Here is a 25,270-nt window from a genome sequence, read left to right on the forward strand (position 1 = left end):
ACTGCAACCTCTGCATCCTGGGTTCAAGTAATTCTCGTGCCACAGCCTCTGGAGTAGCTGGGATTACAGGTGCCCACCACCACGCCTGGCTAATTTTTGTATTTTTAGTAGAAATGGGGTTTCACTATGTTGGCCAGGCTAGTCTCAAACTCCTGACCTCAAGTGATCCACCCGCCTCAGCCTCCCAAAGTGCTGGGATTGCTAAGCCACCATGCCTGGCCCCATCTCCCATAACTTAATGGGATAGGGAAAAGAATTCCTCCAAGAGAAAATTAAGAGTGAGGTTAGGAGAGGAAGTAGTTGCTGGGTAGCTTTAAATCAGCAGCCGATTTCTCCCATTGGTGAGTCAATTAGTTTCCTATGGCCGCTGTAACAAATTACCACAAACTGATTGGCTTACAACAACACAGACTTAATATCTTATTGTTCTATAGGTCAGAAGCCTCAAATCAGTTTCACTTGGCTAAAGTCAAGTTGTAAAGGACTGATTCCTTCAGGAGGTTCTGAAGGGAAAACCCATTTTCTTGCCTTTTTCTGCTTTTAGTGGTTACCTATATTCCCTGGATTGTGGCCCTTTCCTCCATTTTTAAAGCACACCACTCCAGTCTCTGCACAGTGCTGTGGTTTGAATGTGTCCCCCAAAGTTCATGTGCTGGAAATTTAATCTCTAATGCAACAGTGTTGAGAGGTGGGACCTTTAAGAGGTGATTAGGTCATGAAAGATCTGCCCTCATTAATAGAGTAATGATGTTATCTCAGCAGAGGGTTAATTATCATGGGGGTGGGTTCCTAATAAAAGGATTGAGTTCAGCCCCCTTTCTCTCTTGATGTGATGCCTTCCATCATGGGATGACACAGCAAGAAGACCCTCACCAGAAGCAGGCCCCTTGATCTTGACCTTCCCAGCCTCCAGAACTGTAAGAAATAAACCTGTTCTTTATAAATTACCTAGTCTCAGATATCGTGTAGCAATACAAAAAAGACTAAGACACTCAGTCATCATCACAGTGCCATCTTCCCTGACTGCTGAGTCCCTCTTAAAAGAGCACTGTGGGCTGGATGTGATGGCTCATGCCTGTAATCCCAGCACTTTGGGAGGCCAAGGCGGGCAGATCACAAGGTCAGGAGTTCGAGACTAGCCTGACCAACATGGTGAAACCCCATCTCTACTGAAAAAACAAAAATTAGCTGGGCATGGTGGCGAGCACCTGTAATCCAGCTACTCGGGAGGCTTAAGCAGGAGAATCGCTTGAACCTTGGGAGGTGGAGTTGCAGTGAGCCGAGATTGCGCCATTGCACTCCAGCCTGGGCACCAAGAGCAAAAAACTCCGTCTCAAAAAAAAAAAAAAAAAAGCACTGTGATGGGACACTGGGCCCACAGGCAACATCGGATAAGCTCCCATCTCAAGATGCTTAATCACATCTGCAAAGTCCCTTTTGTCATGGAAAGGAACATAGTCAAAGATTCTGGGAATTAAGATGAGGACACTTTGGAGGGGCCATTATTCAGCCTACCATGGAAGATATCATGAGAGGGAGTTAATACAAAATGCTCTAGAAACAGAGAAAGGCAGCCAGGCACAGTAGCTCATGCCTCTAATCCCAGCATTTTGGGAGGGAGGCGGGTGGATTGCCTGAGGTCAGGGGTTCAAGACCAGCCTGACCAACATGGTGAAACCCCATCTCTACTAAAAATACAAAAATTAGCTGGGCATGGTGGCAGGTGCCTGTAATCCCAGCTACTCGGGAGGCTGAGGCAGGAGAATCACTTGAACCCAGGAGGCGGAGGTTACAGTGAGCCGAGATCACACCATTGCACTCCAGCCTGGGCGACAAGCATGAGACTTCATCTCAATTTAATAAAAAAAAGAAAAAAGAAAAAAAAAAAAAAGAAACAGAGAAAAGCTGGCTAACTCTCCACAGTGGGAAAAATGTCCCAGGAAACCACAGCCTCCACATTAAATATTCAAATGAGCTAAAACCCATCTAATTGGCAATCTCAGCCTCATTCCTTTAAACATGCAAACTACCTAAATTCCCATCAAACCCCCTACACCAGGCCAGCCAAGTCTCAAAATGCTTATATACCCTTTAATAGAAATTTCCAACCACCACCCCCATTTCCTAAGGAAATGGCTGTGTGCCCTTGACCCTGCCCTGACAGAATCGCCAGTGGCCTTTGAACCATGGCACTCAATTCATGGCATGGCCAGCGAGCTACAAAGTGTCCTAGCATCAACCAAGCAAAGTTATAAAAGCAGATTTAGTGGACAATAAGGAACATTAGTTTTAGAGTCAAAAAGACCTGGGTTGGGTCCCAGCTCTGCCATTTACCAGCTGTGCAACATCGGAAAAGTTACCTTCCTCTTCTAACTTTGGTTTCCTCACCTGTGACATGACAGTGGCTAGAGGACCTCACTCATAGAATCACTGTGATGACAAGAGCAGCCAAGGGTAAGTCTTTGCACAGGGCCTCCCTGGTCATTATTGGGTCAACAAGACATAACCACATGCCTTATCTCCACTTCCAAAACCCAAACAGCTCTCAAAAACAAGTCATTGTAGCTCATTTGGAAGAAAAGACTGATATGAACCAATATGCAACTACCTATAATCTTTCTCTATCCCTCTTACTGTGAATATTTGCTGTGGAAATATTAACATGTTTGGTCTCCACTGGGGTAGGACTCCACATGTGTAGGACTCCACTGGGGTGCTACACATACACATAGTAGATATGCCTTACCACCTTCCTAAAATTGGATAATTAAATTTCACAACTTATCTAGCCCAAAGGTTTCAGAGACGGTAGACCTGTATCTTTATGAGGGCGAGGATGAGAATATAACCTGGCCTGTTATCATGCACCAAGGTACCTGCTGTTCTCATGAAGATGTCTGCAGCCAGCCAGCCAGTCTCTACAAACTCCACCCCCAACCTCGCTATGCTCCCTTCCCTGGAACTTTCCAAGGGGCCCTTAGAATTTGTATTCAGCTCTCACAGGCTGAGACCAGGGTGACATCCTGGGAAACCTGCCTAGTGATAGCCAAGGTGTAGCTCCAGATGAAAGGCACACAACTTTAAATATAAAAAAGCCATTCAGGCTAGGCTCAGTGGCTCATGCGTGTAATCCCAGCACTTTAAGAGACTGAGGCAGACAGATCACCTGAGGTCAGAAGTTCAAGACCAGGCTGGCCAACATGGCAAAACCCTGTCTCTACAAAATATATAAAAATTAACAGGCATGGTGGTGCATACCTGTAATCCCAGCTACTCAGGAGGCTGAGGCACAAGAATCGCTTGAACCTGGGAAGCAGAGGTTGCAGTGAGCCAAGCCTGCACCACTGCACTTCATTCAGGCTGGGCAACAGAGTGAGACTCCATCTCAAATAAATAAATAATAAAGCCATTCAACTAAAGAACCGATTATCAAGCAGAAGCACAAAGCCCAGGTTCCATCAGGTTTTTAATTGTACATCAGTGACTGTGAAAAAGCAATTATTCCCATAATTAAAATACAAACTATAAAAAAACAGACTCAAAGAAAAGAAAGATGACAGAGTGAAAGAAGGTACATTTCTTTCGTGTTCAAACCACGGAGTTCACAACACAGCAGCACACACAGCTGGGCGCTTTGTGGTCTCGGCACCCTCGGCTTCCCCTTCACGGGGCCGCTTTCGACTAGTAGAAGGCTGAAAATAAAGGAAAATGGAGAAATGTTCAAAAGAAAATCACTGGCTTCTTTAAGATTATCAAAGTTCCTCAATATGCTTCCAGTAAAGTGGGGGCATTTGATGTGAAATTCTAGAACCAAAAATTACTGGTTGTCATCATTGACAACTGAGTCCTCACCACAGCCCCCAACTCAGACATGCTTATCTAATAGATATTTCTCTCCCTTATGGCTTCTGACCTCTGAACGATGTATACTGAAAGCAAGTAGCATAACCAACTTCCTCTTGATCGTCCTCTTCTAAATATCAAGTTTAAAAGGACTATAATACCTCTCAGTTGAAGCCCCAAGTCTTGGTCTTTTGCGGGAAGACAACCTTTGTGCCTTAGTTGTTTTCCCATATATAAAATTGGGAGGAAGGCTGGGTGCGGTGACTCACAGCTGTAATCCCAGCACTTTGGAAAGCCGAGGTGGGCAGGTCGCTTCAGGTCAAAAGTTCGAGACAAGCCTGACCAACATGGCAAAACCCCATCTCACCTAAAAATTCAAAAATTAGCTGGGCACAGTGGCGGACACCTGTAATCCCAGATACTCGGGAGACTGAGGCAGGAGAACTGCTTGAACCCAGGAGGCAGAGGTTGCAGTGAGCTGAGATTGCACCACTGCACTCCGGCCTGAGTGACAAACCAAGACTCTGTCTCAAGAAAAAAAAAATTGGGGGGAGGAAACAGTGGGAAAAAGGACAGCTACCATTCAACAACAACAACAACAACAAAAAAGCAGGACTGGAATTAACTTATACTCACAAAGAACTTTAAAGAATAAAATTGTAATCAAGGAATCAACTACTGACCCAAATTTTAATTTGTTCAACAAATTTATATTTGAGCCTCTAATAGAGTCTTTCGAAATTGCCTTGCAGGTGACCTTTTGGATGACAATCCCTAGCTGTGCTTATCGGTCTATTATGTGTTAGATATTAAACATATCCTGCATTTTTAAATCTAAGGGTGCTGGAGCGAATCAAGTTAAAACAGAGTTTCTACTACATTATAACTGAAACAATGTTAAGCAATTGCTACTCAGGAAAATCTTGAATTTCATCATCTTTGCTTATCAGCTCCTTAAGCCCAGACTACATTTAGTGATCATCAGGAATACGAATACCTGGGCTAGAACCTGGGGTAGAGCTGTGGATTCATTTTCCTCAGACAGAAGATCTTGAAACTTTCTCTTCATGTCTTCATCCTGTGAGGGAATTAAAAACATAAGTAGCTGTGTCTGAAGGATAATAAACTCCTAGAATGACAGGGCTAGCATGCCCCTGTGGAAAGAGGGAGGAAAAATGTCCGTCCAAGAATCATCCCCTTGATGAAGCTCCCACAGCGAAGGCATTATGTGTTGCCCGCCTCTACCTTCCCAGAGGAGTCTAATTAGCAGTCAATGCTCCATCAATCCTGGCTGACTCACATCCACATGCCTAAAAGCTCTCAGTGGGTCAATCACAGCCTCCAGCAGTCAAGAGTTTCTTAATTAGTATCCAAGATCCTGAGAAAGGTGGCAATCAGGAGGCCAGAGGCTGGGCCTGACTCCGTGCAGCTCCTCAAATCCTTCCCGGACCACTCTCCACCTGCTGCCCCTGCCATGAATGAGGCCAGTCACCCAGACTGTCCTAACAACCAGCCCAGCACCCTAGGAAAATTCACCCAGCAGATGCCATACAAATTTTCAGAAGTACTTAAGCCCACAGTATCCCAGAGCTCAGGTCTAATGAGAAAGGGAGACAATAAACAGAACCAAGTATTTTGTTTCTGCTGCAGGAGCGGGAGGTGAGGGGTTTCATGCTGCAGGAGCAGGAGATGAGGAGGGCACAGACAGTGTGTATGCGAGTAGCTCCCACCTCTCTGGATGCTCACTTCTGCAGGGTTCGAGGATTTGCATTAGGAAACCCTGAGAGGTGGTCTGGTGCAGCTCTCCCCATCTTCAGCAAGGTGAAAGGAACATCCATAACTAGGAATGTGGCCTTTGAGTGCTGGCCAGAAGCCCAGCTCAGCCACTCACAGGTGGCATGTGCAGAATACAGACCCAGAGTTATCTGATTCCAGTGCCTCATGTACTTTCCCACCCAACTCCAGCCCCTCCTCCCACTGAGCCAAGCATACCACAGTGGGGAAAGGGAGAGGATACAGTAAAGTCCTCCACCATTTGGCAATTTGATGGATATGGAAATTTTACAACACTAGGTTGGGCATGGTGGCTCATGCCTATAATCCCAGCACTTTGGGAGGCCAAGGTGGGAGAATTGCTTGAGGCCAGGAATTTGAGACCAGCCTGGGCAACATAGTGGGACTTCGTCACTACAAAAAAAATTAAAAATTAGGCCAGGCACGGAGGCTCACGCCTGTAATCCCAGCACTTTGGGAGGCCAAGGCAGGCGAATCGCCTGAGGTCGGAAGTTTGAGATCAGCCTGGCTAACATGGTGAAACCCCTTCTCTACTAAAAATACAAAATAAGCAGGGCATGGTAGTGCACGCCTGTAATCCCAGCTACTCAGGAGGCTGAGGCAGGAGAATCGCTTGAACTCAAGAGGCGGAGGTTGCAGTAAGCCAGGATCACACCACTGCACTCCAGCCTGGGCAAAAGAGTACAACACTGTCTCCAAAAAAAAAAAAAAAAAAATTTAAATTAGCCAGACATGGTGGCATGCACCTGTAGTCTCAGCTACTTGGGAGGCTGGGGCAGGAGGATCACTTGAGCCTGAAAGTCATGGTGCAGTGATCATGCCACTGCACTCCAGCCTAGGTGAGAGAGCAAGACCCTGAGGAAGGAAGAAAGGAAAGAAGCAAGGAAGGAAAAAGGGGAGGGGGGACGAAAGAAGGGAGGGGAAAGGAATGGAGGAGAGGGGAGGGGGAAGGAAGGAGGAAGAAAGAAAGAAGGAAAGAAGGACCAGGCACAGTGGCTCACGCCTGTAATCCCAGCACTTTGGGAGGCCAAGGCAGGGCAGATCACTTGAGGTCACTCTGTTTTGAGTTTCTCAGTGTAGCTCCCCATTGCCATTTGACAGCAGCAAGCTCATCTGGATTCTACTCCGCACCCTCTCACGGCCTTACTTAGGATCTCAATTATCTTGCAGTGTCACTCTCAAAAGTCCATCTCTTGGCAGCCCTTCAGTGAAGCCAAACAGAGTGGTCACAAGCCTAATCAGGCCTGTATTTAAAACAAGTAATCAGGTCAGGCACAGTGGCTCATGCCTGGAATCCCAGCACTTTGGGAGGCCAAGGTGGGTAGATAACCTGAGGTCAGGAGTTCGAGACCAGTCTGACCAACATGGTGAAACCCCATCTCTACTAAAAATACAAAAATGAGCTGGGATGGTGGCAGGCACCTGTAATCCCAGCCACTTGGGAGGCTGATGCAGGAGAATCACTTGAACCCAGAGGTAGAGGTTGCAGTGAGCTGAGATCACACCATTGCACTCCAGCCTGGTAGACAAAAGCAAGACTCCATCTCAAAAAAGGAAATAAATAAATAAACATTGATTTTCTTCATGATGTCTACAATTATTCCAAAATATTAAATTAGCCAGGAACAGTGGCTCGTGCCTATTATCCAAGCACTTTGTGAGGCTGAGGCGGGAGGATCCCTTAAGGCCAGGAGATCAAGGCTGCAGTGAGCTATAATTGCACCAGTGCACTCCAGTTTAGGCAACAGAAGAAGACCTTGTCTCCAACAGTAAATAAAATAAAAATTAAATTGTAATATCCCTTGAAAGTAAACAGAAGAAATCCTCTATTTCAGGCAGTAAATATGAGGCAGAGAGTAGATGTAAGGGATGCTCCCAAAACTGGGCACTCTGTTAATGACAAAACAGAGACCAGAATCCACATTCCCAACACTCAGTTCAGCGACAGACCCACAAAACCATTTGGTTTTTTCAAAAACACTGAATTTTCCCAAAATAAAACCCAAACTATCACTAACAGATGTTTTAGATGGTCAGTCTTCATCCTTGTCTTCATTCAATGCTCATTCCTCCTTTCACTGCAAAAACAAAAGGTGGCTAAAAGAGTATTCCAGGGAGATCCTGCAACAGAGTTGAACTTCACCTTCTCCTTGGTTGTTAATAAGTTTTCTTTGACACAAAAAAGTACAAGAAAGATAGGCTATGCTTGCTCATAAATTTCAGGCAGATGCAAACCCTGTTCCCAGGCTCAACTGGCCAGCTCTATTTTTTGTTAGAGATGAACACAGCTCCTGTACCTCTACATTTAGACCCAAGAGTTTCCCTATTAGGACACATGAAAAGAGCCAAAAGACATGTTTCTCTTTTTCATCAAAATTAAAATCCCCACATGCAAAGGCACCCTTTGTTTCCAAACCCCTTTCCTCCAGGGTCCCACTGTTTCAAATCTGTGTGGTCTATTAAATGCTAAATCATCTGACAGATTTCTTCTGGGGAGACTGTAGTTTCCAGGGCAACATCCAAACACATATATGTCTTTTTTTGTTTGTTTGTTTGTTTGTTTTAAGTTTTTGTTGTTCTCAACCTGAGCTGGCCTGAGCAAAACTGTTAGGTGTAGAGGATTGGAACAGAGAACAGGGACAGTCTTCCCAGAGTCCCAGAAGTACGGGTCGGAGGCTGGACTGCCCAAGGAGTTCCTGGACCAGTAATCCCCAGAGAAACAGCATTTAGCTCAAGTAACAGCCTCTAGCTCAAGCTACCAGTTCTGTCCCCCATCTCCACAGAAAACGGATTGATACAGTTTGGCTTTGTGTCCCTACCCAAATCTCATCTCAAATTGTAATCCCCAGGTGTTGAGAAAGGGACCTGTTGAGAGGTGATTGGCTCATGGGGGCAGTTTCCCCCAGGCTATTCTCGTGATAGTGAGTGAGTTCTCACCAGATCTGACAGTTTCATAAGAGGATCTTCGCCCTTCACTTCCTTCACAAGCTCTCTCACCTGCTGCCATTAAGACATGCCTTCTTCCCCTTCCACCATGATTATAAGTTTCCTGAGGCCTCCCCAGCCATGTGCAGCTGTGAGTCAGTTAAACCTCTTTTCTTTGTAAATTACCCAGTCTTGGGCAGTTCTTTATAGCAGTGTGAGAACAGACTAATACACAAACCAAAAAAAAATTCATAGAAAGGGGCATGTCTGTGCTGAATGGAACTGCTCATTACAGAAGACCAGACATCTATCAGAAAAACCTGCCCAATGCCGTGGCTAATTCTAAAACTAAAGATTAACCCAGCAAAGCCACAACATACTTCCAACTCTTGGCAGTTCCAGATGAGGTCAGCATTTAAAAATGGCAGCCCCAACCCCTAGCAGGAGCACAGCGGTAATACAGATGAAAAGTGCAGGTGACAGCCTTCATTAAGGACACATTTACTCACCTGAATGAACAAGCAGTGGGACCCTTTATACCCAGTCACTTGGGCTTGAGAAATAGCTGGATTCTCCCCAGGGAGGCTGTCCTCCTCCCCCTCCCCCACTTCCCTGATTTAAGGTTGAAGATGGCTGGAATGCACCCCACCTATGAAGAGCAGTGGACATGGCTGGGGGTAGAGCCAGAACAAGCACTCAAAAGAACACAGGCCAAACAGGAGACTCGGGGCAGCCAAGTGGAACCAGAACAGGACATAAAGTGAGCGTGTACATCCAACAGCCATGAGTAATATCAAAAAGGTTGTAGCCTGGCCAGCACGGCGAAACCCCATCTCTACAAAAAATACAAAAAGTAGCTGGGCATGGCAGCATGCACCTGTAATCCCAGCTACTTGGGAGGCTGAGGCAGGAGAATCACTTGAACCCGGGGGCCAGAGGTTGCAGTGAGCTGAGATCGTGCCACTGCACTCCAGCCAGGGTGACAGAACAAGAACCTGTCTCAAAAAAAAAAATAAAACAGGTTGTAACCCATCCTCCAAGATACCCCCCATACATCTAAAACAATTAGATTAAACACTCAACAAAGTAAACATGTTTCTGTCCTCTGTCTCATGTCTCTCAGGCAGCAGGGCTTCCCATGTATTTTATGCTAGCAGGCACTGTCCCACACCCACCTGAAGCCACGGGTGTCTTAAGGCTTCTTCTGTCGTAAAACGTGCCTTTGGATCCACTACCAACAACTTCTTGACAAGGTCCAGAGCTAAAGCAACAATTGGGCAAATCACAGTGAAAAGGATAAATATATTATCAGTAAGAGTATGCCAGAATTAACAGGCCACCATTCAGAAAGAGCAGAGAGGGTCTGAGATCATCACGGAGTCAGCAGACAGGGCCCCCTAATCTTCCTCACTCTCTGTATTCAGAGTACTGTGAGAAGACCAGGAATGATAATGACACTCCCTGTCTCCTGCTGCTGGGACGTCAGTCACGACCTCTTCACTGCCTGTTCCCTCTCTTGTTGCTAGACTCAAGGTCGGACTAATTAAAGCTAAACTTCTACCCAATTCTAAGATACTTGGGATGCACAGCAAACTCTCTCTGACATCTACAGATGGATAGGTGACAGTTACTCAGCGAGGGAGAGGCTCCCTGGAACTGCAGACTTGTCAGAAATAAAACTTGGCTACTCCAGCAAGCAACAAATGCACGCTGGCCTGTATATTACAACATTATTATTCCTTAAATATTCTGACATTTAACACAATCACCTATGTTATGTTATTTGACATTTAATTTTCTACTTTCTCTTCAGGGAACTAAAGTTGCCAGGATAAATTATAAAATACAAGGTAACTAATGACATCTAGTTTTTACATGCTTGCTTACTCAAAGGAAACCTTGTAACTAAAAAGTTACAAGTGCATTTATTTTGCTCACTAAAATAGGTACCAGGCACTTGTGTACATGATACTTAACCCTCACAAAAACCTTTTAAGGTAGGGTTTATTGAGGGTCCCTTTACACAGAAAGAAATTGGAGATGGAGGTTAAATAACTTGCCTAAGGCCACACAGCTAAGTAGTAGCAGACCCAGGACCTGAGTGCATGCTCTTAATAATTTCCAGTGCCTCTCAAATGGTGTGAAACTAACAATAGAAAATAAGAACAGAATTGACAGGAGAAAACACCATGGAATTTGGGAAGAAACTCCCACCACAGCACATACACATTTTAGCATACCACAAATTCTTAACCCTTTCATATTCATACCTTTCTCTGAGACTTCTGCCCAGACTTCAGGAATGAAGTTGTATTTTCCACTGGTGATCTGATCCTTCAGTGACACTTGAGTCCTATGCTCAGAGAAAGGTGGATACCCACTAAGGCTTAATATTGGTAGAGAGAGAAAGGAAAAGAAATCAAGTGGCATTCTCAGTGGCATTCAGATATAAAGATTTCTTTTTCAGCATAATGAAAAGTCAGATTTTTCTTTAAATCAATGGTCAAAAAGTGAGCTAGGCTGGGCACAATGCCTTAGGCTTGTAATCCCAGCACTTTGGGAGGCCGAGGCAGGAGGATCACTTGAGCCCAGGAGTTCGAGACCAGCCTGGGCAACATGGCAAAACCCCATCACTACAAAAAATAGAAAAATTAGCTGGGCATGGTGGTGTGCATCTGTAGTCCCAGCTACTCGGGAGGCTGAGGTGGGAGGATCACTTGACCCAGGAGGCAGAGGCTACAGTTAGCCAAGATCAAGCCACTGCATGCCAGCCTGGACAACAGAGCAAGACACATTTGTGACTTCATCTAATCACCTCCTACCAGTCTGTGCAGCAATGAAAATATTTCTTACCAGATAAAAAGAATAACTCCTAAACTCCAGCAGTCCACAGCACGGTTATACCCAGCAGTCCCAACAGAAACAAGAACTTCAGGCGCCAAGTAGGTGGGGGTTCCACATAAGGTTCTCATGAGAGAGGTCTCTCCCAAAATCTTGGAGTGCCCAAAATCAGTAATCTAAAATTCAGTACAAAAGGGAATAATGTTGAACTTGCCATAAAATAAAAAGATTAACATAGTCTGCCAGTCCAAGAAGACACGTAGGCTAGATCAGTTTCTATTGTACAATTCACACCTGCCATTAATCTGGAATTTACAGATTCATGTCTTTGCAAGTTAGGACATTTAATTTTGCTTAAATTAAAATTCCTGAGCCTAGGAATCTCAACACTCAGGCTTTCCAACTTAACCTATGTCCTCTGTAATCTTACAAAAAGCTTATTATCTTTATCACAGACACTTCAGGATTCTAATTAGTTCTACATGGTTCTTAGACCCCAGTGTCTCAAACTTGGCTGCGCTATGGAATACCTGGGGAGCTTGGAAACACATGCTTATACCTGAGTGCCACTCTCAGCTTCTGAGGTAAAGCCTGGGTGTCATAAATCCTAACAAGAGATTCTAAAGTGATGCCAGACTTGAGAAACAGGGAAAGGCAGCGCATGTGATTACTCATTCATTCATTCACCTATTCTGAGATGATGTCTGGCCCTTTTGCACAGGCTGGAGTGCAGTGGTGCGATCTCAGCTCACTGCAACTTCTGCCTCCCAGGTTCAAGTGATTCTCGTGTCTCAGCCTCCCAAGTAGCTGGGATTACAGACACCCACCACCATGCCCAGCTAAATTTTTGTATTTTTTGCCATGTTGGCCAGGTTGGTCTCAAACTCCTGACCTCAGGTGATCTGCCCACCTCGGCCTCCCAAAGTGCTGGGATTACAGGTGTGAGCCACCATACCCAGCCCACTCGTCCATTTAGACCCCTCCTCTCTCTCTAAGCACAAAGGTCACTTGTACACAACAGAGCTCAATAAATGCTCATTCGAATCTGGATAAGAGCAGTATCACCTGATCTCTAAAATAATTGGTAACAGTGAAAGGGTCAGATTCTCATCCTTTTTACGCTCCCACTTTTTATTTGAGGAATTAAAAGTTTCTGAACAAGAATCTACAGGAATAGCCACATACAGAATGCCAATTTCTTACCTTTATAAGACAGTCCTCTTCTTGAGATGACAGTAAAACATTCTCTGGCTTTAAGTCACGGTGTATAATACCGTTTTCATGAAGGTACTACACAGAAAGGCAGGCATGACCCTCAGATTCATGCAGTAGATACTTAAGTAGAATCAAAGTTACCAACACACACATCTCACAGCTGGGTGAAACCGTAAGCCGTGATACACACAACCATATTCTCCAAAATCATAGAAAACTGTTGGGGTAAAGTTTACAAATTTGTTTGAGAAGATCTTTAAAAAGCAGGGAAATGAAAAAAGCAACTTAGAACAATTAACCTTTCATTTCACTTTAAGATAATAAACAACTCTTCACACAGCAGAAATGTAAGGTGTCAATTTCAATAAAAATTCAAATGGGTAACAGAAAATGTTTTGAGAACATACCAAATAAACACAAAAATTCCACCAAAATGATATATTTGGTTATTGCAGTCCTGAGAATATTTTTAAAGGGAACCTATACAAATATATATTTGTAAATATCTATTTATGTGATACAAATATATATCTGTTTATGTGAGTTAACCTATTCCTCAATGCAAAGACTTTGTCTTTGAAAAAACTATTGTCTGAAATAGCATATAAAAATGAACAAACACCAACATACTATGCCATATTTCTTTTCTTTTCTTTTCTCTTTTTTTTTTTTCTTGAAACAAGGTCTCACTCTGTCCCCCAGGCTGAAGTGCAGTGGCACCATCTTAGCTCACTACAGCCTCAACCTCCTCAGCTCAAGTGATCCTCCCACCTCAGCCTCATGAGTAGCTAGGACCATAGGCACAAAGCATGCCACTTCAACCAGCTAACTTCTTTATTTTTTTGTAGAGACGGGATCTCACAATGTTGCCCAAGCTGGTCTGGAACTCTTGGGCTAAAGTGACCTTCCCACCTCAGCCTCCCAAAGTGCTGGGATTACAGGCATCAGCCACCCTGCCTGGCCATATTTTTTTAGGAAACAAAATTTTCACATATCCACAAACTGTACTCAATTCATGTTAATATTCTTGGTTACTCAATATAAATAAATGGAATAAACCAATAAGGGAGCAATACACTGAGTAGGTGACAGCTACCATTAAAAAGGGCTTGCGTTGTACCCCATAAACATGTACACCTACTATGTGCCCACAAAAATTAAAATTAAAATTAAATTTTTTTTTTAAAAAGGCTTGTGGGCGGGCACGGTGGCTCATGCCTGTAATCCTAGCACTTTGGGAGCTCAAGGCAGGCGGATAGTTTGAGGTCAGGAGTTTCAGAACAGCCTGGCCAACATGGTGAAACCCTATCTTTACTAAAAAAAAAAAAAAAAAAATTAGCTGGACATGGTGGCAGGCACCTGTAATCCCAGCTACTGGGTAGGCTGAGGCAGGAGAATCACTTGAACCCGAGGTGGAGGTTGTAGTGAGCCGAGATCGTGCCATTGGACTCCAGCCTGGGCGACACAGTGAGACATCATCTCAAAAAAAATAAACAAATAAAAATAAATTTAAAAGGCTTGTGTTTATGGGCTTCAATCTTCTCTGGATGTCCCTCTGGGTTAGAACAAAAATTTTTTGCAAAATCTTTACTGGGAAATGGATCTGGTGAAACCTCCAGGGAGGGCAAACCTAGGTAGATCAATCATAAAAAAATTTCTCTCGATCCTCACTCTGTACAAGGATTGCTCCCAATCACTGCATTTCCTGCAAGGAGTGGGTTTTCAAGAAGAGACTGGAAGGGAATGGCCACAACCACATTTGGTCTGGGAAATGGTGATGTTCCTCAAAGCAAGTGCCACCAGCTATTCTTTCATCTAACACCTACTGAATAGAGATGGCTATGTGCATTCCCTGCCGGCCCGCCCACTGCAGCGAACAGGATGCTGCACCTGAAGGGAAACACCTAGTTCTGAGCCATGGGGGACCAACCCATCTGTCACAATCATCACAACTTGCAGCTCTGCCCTCAAACCTGCCCAGCTCCCACTCTGAGTTAAGAGAGACTTCTACAAGGATCAAGCAGAACTAAAGAACTAATGATCAAGACCCCTCCAGAAATACCTCCAAGCTAAAGATAGGCGACATAGGGCCATGTTATCTCTTTTTTTAAAGACAGAGCATCATTCTGTTGCCTAGACTGGAGCGCAGTGGCATGACTGTGGCTCACTGTAGCCTCAACCTCCCAGGCTCAAGCCGTCCTCCCAACTCAGCCTCCAGAGTGGCTAAGACCACAGGTGCCCGCCACCATGCCTGGCTATTTTTATTTTTTGTAGAGATGGGGGTCCCATTATATTGCCCAGGCTGGTCTTAAACTCTTGGGCTCAAGTGATCCTCCTGCCTTGGCCTCTCAAAGTGCTGGGACTACAGGCGTGAGCCACTATGCCTGGTCTATTTATTTCTTTAATTCCCTTTCTTACTTTCTCTTAAGCTACACAGTGAGAGCTTTTTCTTTTTTTTTTTTTTTTTTTTTTGAGATGGAGTCTCACTCTGTCCCCAGGCTGGAGCACAGTGGCATGATCTCAGCACACTGCAACCTCCACCTCCCAGTTCAAGTGATTCTCCTGCCTCAGCCTCCCGAGTAGCTGGGACTACAGGCACGCAACACTACACCCAGCTAATTTTTGTATTTTTAGTAGAGATGGGGTTTCACTATGTTGGTCAGGATGGTTTTGATCTCTTGACCTCGTGATCCGCCCGCTTGGCCTCCCAAAATGCTGGGATTATGGGCATGAACCACCGCGCCTCGCCAGTGAGAGCTTTTTCATCTCAGTGAAAGGAGTAGGACATTTTTGCCAAGAAGAGAACAGCAAACACACAGATTCTCTTCTGAGTTTTAATCCACGGTCCCTCGATTTCTGCCTAATTCAGGGAGTAATTCAACTAAAAGAAAGGCAGCTGTCAAAAGAATTGAGGGCTTCTTTTACCTGCACAGCCAAGAGCATCTGGTAAAAATAGAGCTTGCAGGTAGCTTCTTTCAGGCGTTTATTCCCCACCACTTTGTCAAACAGCTCTCCCCCTTCCATCCTGAAACACAAAGGCAAGGCAAGGGGTTCATTCCTGGGGGAAAACGCACTTGGACAGAAGACAATAAAACAACAAAACAAATTCATTAAGACAAGCAAACAGTTGACATTTTTATTCACTTTTGACTCTCATTTTTAAAACTAATAAGGTTTATTCACAATCAGATGTCCCAGTTGGAAACTAAGGAATGAGATGAAAGGATTGGGCATTGGAGGCACCTGGGGAACTTTAAAAAATCCAATTCAGTAGCTTGGAAGTGGGGCCCAGGAGTTGCTTTTTTTTTTTTTTTTTTGAGACAGAGCCTCGCTCTGTCACCCAGGTTGGAGTGCAGTGGTGCGATCTTGGCTCACTGCAACCTCCGCTTCCCAGGTTCAAGTGATTCTCATGCCTTAGCCTCCCAAGTAGCTGGGATTACAGGTATGCACCACCATGCCCGGCTAATTGTTGTATTTTTTTTAGTAGAGACAAGGTTTTGCCATGTTGGCCAGGTTGGTCTCAAATTCCTGGCCTCAAGTGATCTGCCCACTTTGCCCTCCCAAAAGTGCTGGGATTACAGGCATAAGCCACCGCACCCAGTCAGGAGTTTGCATTTTTATCACACACCACAGATGATTCTGAGACTGATGTAGAAGAGCAAACAGAATTTTACAAACAGACAACCAGGATCTGAACCCTAACTCTACCATTTCCCAGCTTTTGGACTTTGGGAAAGCTATTTAACCTCTCTCAGCTTGTTTCTACCACTTAAAAAATGGGGATGATACCATCTACCTTGATGGTTGTTATAAAAATTAAGAGATGGCTGATGTAGGAAAAGCTCCTGGCACAGGTGCTTGGCAAGGTTATTCCTTTATTTATTTATTTATTTTGAGACAGAGTTTCGCTCTTATTGCCCAGGCTGGAATGCAATGGCGCAATCTTGGCTCACCGCAACCTCCACCTCCCAGGTTCAAGCGATTCTCCTGCCTCAGCCTCCCAAGTAGCTGGGATTACAGGCATTCACCATCATGCCCGGCTAATTTTGTATTTTTAGTAGAGATGCGGTTTCTCCATGTTGGTCAGGCTGGTCTCGAACTCCTGACCTCAGGTGATCTGCTCCCCTCGGCCTCTCAAAGTGCTGGGATTACAGGCGTGAGCCACCGTGCCCGGCTCTGTATTATCACTTTTATTAACTGTGTTAACTGGATTCAGTCAGGTAACAATCTCCTATTTGATAGCAGCAGATCCACAAGGGGCTCCAGGCTCTCCCAGTGCTGTGATCAGGGGTGATCAGGGGTGTTTTTACCATAGTCTTTTTTCTTTTTTCTTATGTTTTTTGAGACAGTCTTGCTCTGTCCATCACGGCTCACTACAACCTCCGCCTCCCAGGTTCAAGCGATTCTCCACGCCTCAGCCACCCAAGGAGCTGGGACTACAAGCACATGCCACCATGCCTGGCTAATTTTTGTATTTTTAGTAGAGACGGGGTTTTGCCATGTTGGCCAGGCTGGTCTTGAACTCCTGGCCTCAAGGGATCCGCCCACCTCAGCCTCTCAAAGTCCTGGGATTACAGGTGTGAGCCACCACACCCAGCCTGTTGTCTATACAGTCTTAATGATCACCCTGCATAGATACGATTTGCCAACCAGGAGCAAAGCATTCTGTGCCTGCCACAATAGCTGCTCCCAGAAACACTTAATATTTATGCAGGAGCAGATATCAAGACAGGCATCTTCCAGAAATGAGACAGGAAGTTATTCTGATTACACCAAATAACACAAGACATTATCGCCACTGAAATAAACTACCAAGACACTGAAAGATACTCAGGTGCCACCATGCAACCTGGTCCTGGATTGAAAGGACCCGCATAGAAAGTCCTACCCAGGTAGATATTTCAGAGTAGAGCTGTCCCTCAGTATCCATGGGGAATTGGTTCCAGGAGCTCTCTCAGAGACCAAAATCCATTATGCTCAAGCCCTTTATATAAAATGGCGTAAGATTTGCATATAATCTATGTATATCATCCCATATACTATTTTTTTTTTTTTTGAGGCAGAGTCTCACTCCCATTGTCCAGGCTGGAGTGCAGTGGCACAATCTCAGCTCATTACAGCCTTGACTTCCCAAGCTCAGGTGATCCTCCCACCTCAGCCTCCTAAATCACAGGGATTCCAGGCACGTGCCACTATGCCCGGCTAATTTTGTGTGTGTGTGTCTGTGTGTGTGTGTGTGTGTGTGTGTGTGTGTGTGTGTTTTGTACAGATGGGGTTTCACCATATTGCCCAGGCTGTATCCTGTATACTTTCTTTCTCTATTTTTTTTTTTTTAATTTTTTTTGAAACGGAGTCTCGCTCTGTCACCCAGGCTGGAATGCAGTGGCGCGATCTCAGCTCATTGCAAGCTCCGCCTCCTGGGTTCACGCCATTCTCCTGCCTCAGCCTCCCGAGTAGCTGGGACTACAGGAGCCCACCACCACACCCAGCTAATTTTTTGTATTTTTAGTAGAGACAGGGTTTCACCGTGTTAGCCAGGATGGCCTCGATCTCCTGACCTTGTGATCCGCCCGCCTTGGCCTCCCTAAGTGCTGGGATTACAGATGTGAGCCACTGCGCCCGGCCTTTTTTTTTTTTTTTTTTTAATTTTTTGATATGGAGTCTCACTCTGTGGCCCAGGCTGGAGTACAGTGGCACAATCTCAGCTCACTGCAACCTCTGCCTCCCGGGTTCAAGCTATTCTCCTGCTTCAGCCTCCTGAGTAGCTGAAGTAACAGGTGTGCGCCACCACACTCGGCTAATTTTTGTATTTTTAGTAGAGATGGGGTTTCATCATGTTGGCCAGGCTGGTCTCGAACTCCTGACCTCAGGTGATCCACCCACCTCGGCCTCCCAAAGTGCTGGGATTACAGGCGTAAGCCACTGCACCTGGCCCTGGATACTTTAAATAATCTCTAAAATACTTACAAAACCTAATACAATGTAAATGTTATGTAAATAGTGGTTCTACAGTACTGTTTAGAAAATAATAACAAGAAAAATGTTTGTTCATGTTTGGTACAGATACAACCATCCATTTTATTTTTCTAAGTATTTTCGATCTGAGGTTGGTTGAATACACGGATGTAAAAACCCACAGTTATGGTGAGCCAATTATAACAATATTGCCCCATGGTGAGTACACACATGTGCCAGGTGCTCTGCTGGGGGATTTCCATCCCTCATAGCATTTAATTCATACAAGGACTCTGCATGTGGGGGTTCATTATAATCCCCATTTAACACTATGAAGATGAGACTCAGAAAAGTGAGTTAAACTGACCCATGGGTGGTCAGCTAGTCAACTGCAGAGTGGAGTTCAAGTCCTGATCATAGATCCAGGACCTGGAATCCCATACCACCTATTTTTGGAAACATTGGAGGGTTTTTTGGGTTGATATTAACCCCCTATACACAGACTTTGTGGGCCCCACTACTACATACATACGTTGAGGCCCCCCAGGATGAGAAAGGCAAGCCTACATTAGATTCTTTGGTGGCTTTATAAAGCATTTGAATGGAAACAGAAATTTTTAAAAAGTTTACTACTTACAATTCCAAAACAATATAATAATCTTCTGCATCAAAAAAGTTTTTAATCTTGATGATGCAAGGCTAAGAAGAGGGGGAGAAAAAAGGGAAAGTAGTGAGAAACTCCCAAGAGGAAAACCACAAGAGCTTAGAACATCTGCCCAGAGGGACAGGGAGGCCAAGAACAGGCATCTGGCCCCCTGCCTCAGAGGCTTGGAAGTTCAATCAGGGGAGAAGGCAGACAGAATCTAGCCAACTCCTCAGTGAGAACATGCAAGAAATTTTCCACCCCACCATGATGGTGAGAGACTAGTTCATATTTCATATGCAAGGATGCTACCTGGGAATGAAGGCTAGGTCTCTTCCCAGTCTTCTTCCTCACTACCCCAGAGCAGAGGTACTCAAGGACAGCCTAAGGAACCCTGAGGGAGACTGACAAGTAGCATGAATAAAAGCTGTCAAGTAGGAGCCCAGCCATGCTGCCAAACAAGGGTTATTTAAGCTCTGGGCAACTGGAACCTCCAGGCAATTGGACCCCATGGAACAAGATCCTACCATTTTTCAAAGGAAGAGGAAAATTCTAATTTTATAAGAACTCTAAAACACACTTGGGTCGGGGGCAGAGAGAGAGACAGACAGACACACACACACACACACACACACACACACACACACACACACCTATGGCTGATAGTTCATGACCACTGATCAATGCAGGGTGCATGGAGAACACTGAGGGTAAGGAAGAGAATACTGCACATTTTAAAATGCCTATACAATATCATGACTTCATACTTAGCACACCTATTTTTTTTTTAATTTTTCTTTCTTTTTTTTTTATTTTGAGACAGTCTCATTTTCTTTTTTTGAGACAGAGTCTCACTTTGTCGCTCAGGCTTAAGTGCAGTGGCATGATCTCAGCTCACTGCAACCTCCGCCTCCCGGGTTCAAGCTATTCTCCTGCCTCAGCCTCCTGAGTAGCTGGGACTACAGGCGTGCACCACCACACCCAGCTAATTTTTGTATTTTTAGTAGAGAGAGGGTTTCACCATGTTGGCCAGGTTCGTCTTGAACTCCTGGCCTCAAGTGATCCACCCACCTCAGCCTCCCAAAGTGTTGGGATTACAGCAGTGAGCCACCACGCCCGGTGGGCACACCTATTGTTTTTACGATACAGAAGTCAGAAGACAGTTAAGCTCAGTGGGTAAATAAAAGATTTGGTGAGTATTCATCAGGGACATACACCCCAGCACATTGGAGGACTGTAGTTATATCAGAATTAAAAAGAAAAGAGTCATCAGATTTTTTGGTTTTAGATTCAAAAGAGTGGTAAAACTTGCCAGATTGATCTTCCCATAATGTGTATTTCATCATATTCATCACTCATCACTCTGATTAAGATCATCCAATGGAACCTTCCCACAATGAATTGTTATATAGCAATGAATGAATGCCCAGTTTTCCCACCATAGATGGGTCTTGGAAGCATAATGCTGAATGAAAAAGCCAAGTCAGAAAAGACTTCAAAGAGTATGATACAAGTTGAGCATCCCACATACAAAAATACAAAATCTGAATACTCCCAAAATCCAAATCTTTTTTTTTTTTTTTTTTGAGACGGAGTCTTGCGCTGTCACCCAGGCTGGAGTGCGGTGGCGAGATCTCGGCTCACTGCAAGCTCTGCCTCCCGGGTTCACGCCATTCTCCTGCCTCAGCCTCCCGAGTAGTTGGGATTATGAGTGCCTGCCACTGCACCCGGCTAATTTTTGTATTTTTAGTAGAGACTTGGTTTCACCATCTTGGCTGGGCCAGTCTTGAACTCCTGACCTCGTGATCCACCCGCCTCAGCCTCCCAAAGTGTTGGGATTACAGGTGTGAGCCACTGCACCCGGCCCAAAATCTTTTTGAGAGCTGACACAACACTCAAAGGAAATACTCATTGGAGCATTTTGGATTTCAGATTTTTGGATCTGGAATATTCAACCAGGAAGTACAATGCAAATGTTCCAAAATCCAAAAAGATTCAAGACCCAAAAACCTCTGGTCCCAGGCGTTTTGGATAAGGGACACTCAATCTGTATCATTTTTATAAGATTCAGAAACAAGCAGTAAAACTATATTATTTAGGGATACACATATATGTGGCTTTAAAAAAGCAAGGGGCCGGGCGCAGTGGCACATGCCTGTAATCCCAGCACTTTAGGAGGCCAAGGCAAGTGGATCACCTGAGGTCAGGAGTTCGTGACCAGCCTGACTAACATGGTGAAACCCTGTCTCTACTAAATACAAAAAAATTAGCTGGGCGTGGTGGTGCATGCCTGTAATCCGAGCTACTTGGGAGGCTGAGACAGGAGAATCGCTTGTACCTGGGAATCGCTTGAACCCGGGAGGCAGAGTTTGCAGTGAGCCTAAATCGCGCCATGGCACTCTAGCCTGGGCAACAAGAGTGAAACTCCGTCTCAAAAAACTAAACTAAACTAAACTAAAAACTAAACTAAACTAAACTAAACTAAACTAAAGCAAGGGACAGGCCAGGCACAGTGGCTCACGCCTGTAATCCCAGCCCTTTGGGAGGCTGAAGCGGGCAGATCACCAGGTCAAGAGATCAAGACCACCCTGGCCAACATGGTGAAACCCTGTCTCTACTAAAAATACAAAAATTATCTGAATTAGCTGAGTGTGGTAGCACGAACCTGTAGTCCCAGCTGCTCAGGAGGCTGAGGCAGGAGAACCACCTGAACCCGGGAGGGAGAGGTTGCACTAAGCCGAGATCACACCAGTGTGCTCTAGCCTGGCAACAGAGCAACACTCCAGCTCACACACACACACACACACACACACACACACAAAGGGACAGTACACACAGCATTCAAGGTAATGGCATTACCTCTGGGTAGGATGGGGAAAACATAAACAGGTAGCTCGAGTCATGTGGTCAGGTTTTTTGTGTGTTTTTTGTTTTGTTTTGCTTTTGTTTTTGAGACAGGGTCTCACTCTGCTGCCCAGGCTGAAGTGCAATGGGGTGATCATGGCTCACTGCAGTCTCAACCTTCTGGGCTCAAGCAATCCTCCCACCTCAGCTTCCCAAAGTGCTGGGATTATAGGCATGAGCCACCATGCACGGCTGTAAAAAGTACCTTTTAAAGGAGAATAAAGCCAGGAGCAGTGGCTCACGTCTGTAATCCCAGCACTTTGGGAGGCCAAGGCAGGCAGATCACCTGAGGTCAGGAGTTCGAGACCAGCCTGGCCAACATGGCAAAACCCCATCTCTACTAAAAATACAAAAATTAGCTGAGCCTGGTGGTGGGCGCCTGTAATCCCAGCTAGTCAGGAGGCTGAGGCAGAATCACTTGAACCCTGGAGGCGGAGGTTGCAGTAAGCCGAGATCATGCCACTGCACTCCAGCCTGGGCAACAGACGGAGACTCCATCTCATACATAAATAAATAAACAAATAAAGGAGAACAAAAAGAAAAGACACATATAGAAAAGGAACGGAGAGAAGGAAAAAGGGAACTGCTTGGTTCTGGTTGGCTTCATAATGGGCAGTGCCAGTACCTATCTGAAAATGGGTGGGGTCTGGAGCTAACAGAGCATGAAGAGGTGTCCGATAGTCAGAACCAGTGTGAATTACTTCCTCTAGTGTCCGCTACCTCCAGGGTCACTGCCTGGGGCTGTCACAGCTAAAAGGGTCTCTCTACCAGGAATCAGAAGCTACTAACCCACACCTTCCACTTAGGTCATACTGGGAAAGCAGTTCAGGGAATTAACGATCTCTGTCACTCTCCAAGTGTGTTGTCTGCACTGAAAGCTTTAGGAGTACGTCTCATTAAATTCTCACACTGACCTTGTGACATAAGTATTCTTATTGTCTTCATTGTACAGCTGAGGAAACGGGGGCTCCAATAAATAAAATGAACTTCTCAAACGACTTCTCAGCTGCTTTGATAGTACTGAGACAGGAACCCAGTTCTGCCTCCACACTAAAGTCACACTAAAGTGAGGGAAGGGAAGGACAGCAATATCTGTGCTTACCACTGCCGGGGTCCACAAGACAACTGGCATGACAAGTGTTCGAAAAGTAATCACATCAATCTCTGACTCCAAAGGTCAGGCTCTCTTGGCCACTAGACTCTACTTATTGTCCCCAAGCATCAAAATGCACTCATGGGCCCATGTTTAATTCCCAAGAGTTTCTTGTGCCCTTGTAAAATGCAAATAAATATGTCTAGAAATCTTTTTTAGGGTTTTGAATTCTTCTCTATTGCACTGGACACCGGATTTGTACAAATGTTATGTTTGAAGATCATCTGACATCAGAGAAAATTCCCTGAGCATTTGTGTTTATCTTTTTTTTTTTTTTTTTTTTTTGTGAGACGGAGTCTCGCTCTGTTGCCCAGGCTGGAGTGCAGTGGCACAATCTCGGCTCACTGCAAGCTCCGCCTCCCGGGTTCACGCCATTCTCCTGCCTCAGCCTCTCCAGTAGCTGGGACTACACGCACCCGCCACCACGCCCGGCTAATTTTTTTTTGTATTTTTAGTAGAGACGGGATTTCACCGTGTTAGCCAGGATGGTCTTGATCTCCTGACCTCATGATCCACCCGCCCCGGCTTCCCAAAGTGCTGGGATTACAGGCGTGAGCCACCGCGCCCACCGCATTTGTGTTTATCTTAAGGGTAGGTCTGATGCAACCCCACCCCAGAAAATTGGAGGGCTCCTCTCTCCCAGCAGGGTATGGTGTGGCACATGCCTATAGTCCCAGCTACTCAGGAGGCTGAGGCAGGAGTATCGCTTGGTCCCAGGAGTTTGAGGCTGCAGTGAGCTATGATTGTGCCACTACACTGAAGCCTGGGTAACAGAGACAGACTGTCTCTAAAAATATGTGTGTGTGTGTGTGTGTGTGTGTGTGTGTGTGTGTGTTAAAGAGAGACTCCAAATCTCTTGGAAAAAGGACCTGGCAAATTCAGAGAGGACGAATAATTTGCAAAAGAAACAGAAGAAAGCCAAGCAGGAAGGTCAGCCACTCAGGTTCTCATAGGTTTTCAGGTCCACTCACAGAGTTCTAAAGGAACCTGCTGAAGTATTGTGTCAACAACAGTAATTGCTCCTCAGTTTCTACTGACTTTTTTGAGGGATTTGGAGAGGTAGAAAAAGAGAGAAGAAACCTTTTTGCTGTTTCGAGGTTAAAAGCCAGAATAAGGCCAGGCGCGGTGGCTCACGCCTGTAATCCCAGCACTTTGGGAGGCTGAGGTGGGGGGATCACGAGGTCAGGAGATAGAGACCATCCTGGCTAACATGGTGAAACCCCCTCTCTACTAAAAATACAAAAAATTAGCCGGGCGTGGTGGTGTGCCCAGCTACTCGGGAGGCTGAGACAGGAGAATGGCGTGAACCCGGGAGGTGGAGCTTGCAGTGAGCCGAGATTGCGCCACTGTACTCCAGCCTGGGTGACAGAGCGAGCCTCCGTCTCAAAAAAAAAAAAAAAAAAAAAACAAACAAAAAAAATGCCAGAATAAGATCATCATTAGCTGGACAGGAGAGAGATCTTGCCTTGAGTTTAATGCCATTGCCTAATGAGCTTATGCCTTCATGGGCACTTATGAATTAAGGAAGAAACGGGAAAAAAACAAAAAAAAGCAAGATAAGATTAAGCCCACCCTCTAATTTTTCTTCTCACTTTTTAAAAGTGAGACACATTTTTCATTGAGACATAGTCATCATTGCACAAAAAGATAAGAACTAGGCCACAGACACCATTTAATCAGATATAAGGACAGGATGTTGTCATACTTAATGGATACCCTTGGATTTATTTGGATTACTCCAAATAAAAGGTATTCAAAAGTGGTAAAACTTCAGGTATAACTAAACCAAATTTACTAAAATTAACACTGTCTTCTCTAATATAACCAGTTGTGTCTATGAGATAGAATAATTGCTATATGTTTTGGTCAAGAACTAACTCAGAAGAAATATCATTTGTTTATTTAATCATGAAATCTTTATACGGTATTGTTCACTCAGTAACATTTTGGGGTAAAACTCTTCCCAGCTAAATGACAGCTAGGCATGTGTGTGAATG

At 45.0% G+C, this 25,270-nt stretch overlaps 1 protein-coding gene across 24 annotated transcripts in view; it reads right to left on the reverse strand.

The window, feature by feature from the left end:
* The window catches only part of CHEK2 (checkpoint kinase 2), a 54,093-nt gene continuing 32,270 nt past the window's right edge, over positions 3,448–25,270 (reverse strand). For 8 of the 24 annotated variants that reach the window (NM_007194.4, XM_011529839.3, XM_024452148.2 and 5 more), the window contains 8 exons: positions 19,211–19,272; positions 15,544–15,643; positions 12,607–12,693; positions 11,416–11,579; positions 10,833–10,948; positions 9,738–9,823; positions 4,841–4,921; positions 3,449–3,692 (listed from right to left, as the gene is read on the reverse strand). In NM_007194.4, coding sequence (NP_009125.1) covers positions 3,603–3,692; positions 4,841–4,921; positions 9,738–9,823; positions 10,833–10,948; positions 11,416–11,579; positions 12,607–12,693; positions 15,544–15,643; positions 19,211–19,272 — 786 coding nt within the window. In that variant the 3' untranslated portion in view covers positions 3,449–3,602. The other 16 variants (NM_001437942.1, NM_001349956.3, NM_001257387.3 and 13 more) reach the window with 7 other exon arrangements.

The sequence above is a fragment of the Homo sapiens genome, chromosome 22 (assembly GCF_000001405.40).
Source record: "Homo sapiens chromosome 22, GRCh38.p14 Primary Assembly".
Taxonomy (NCBI): domain Eukaryota; kingdom Metazoa; phylum Chordata; class Mammalia; order Primates; family Hominidae; genus Homo; species Homo sapiens.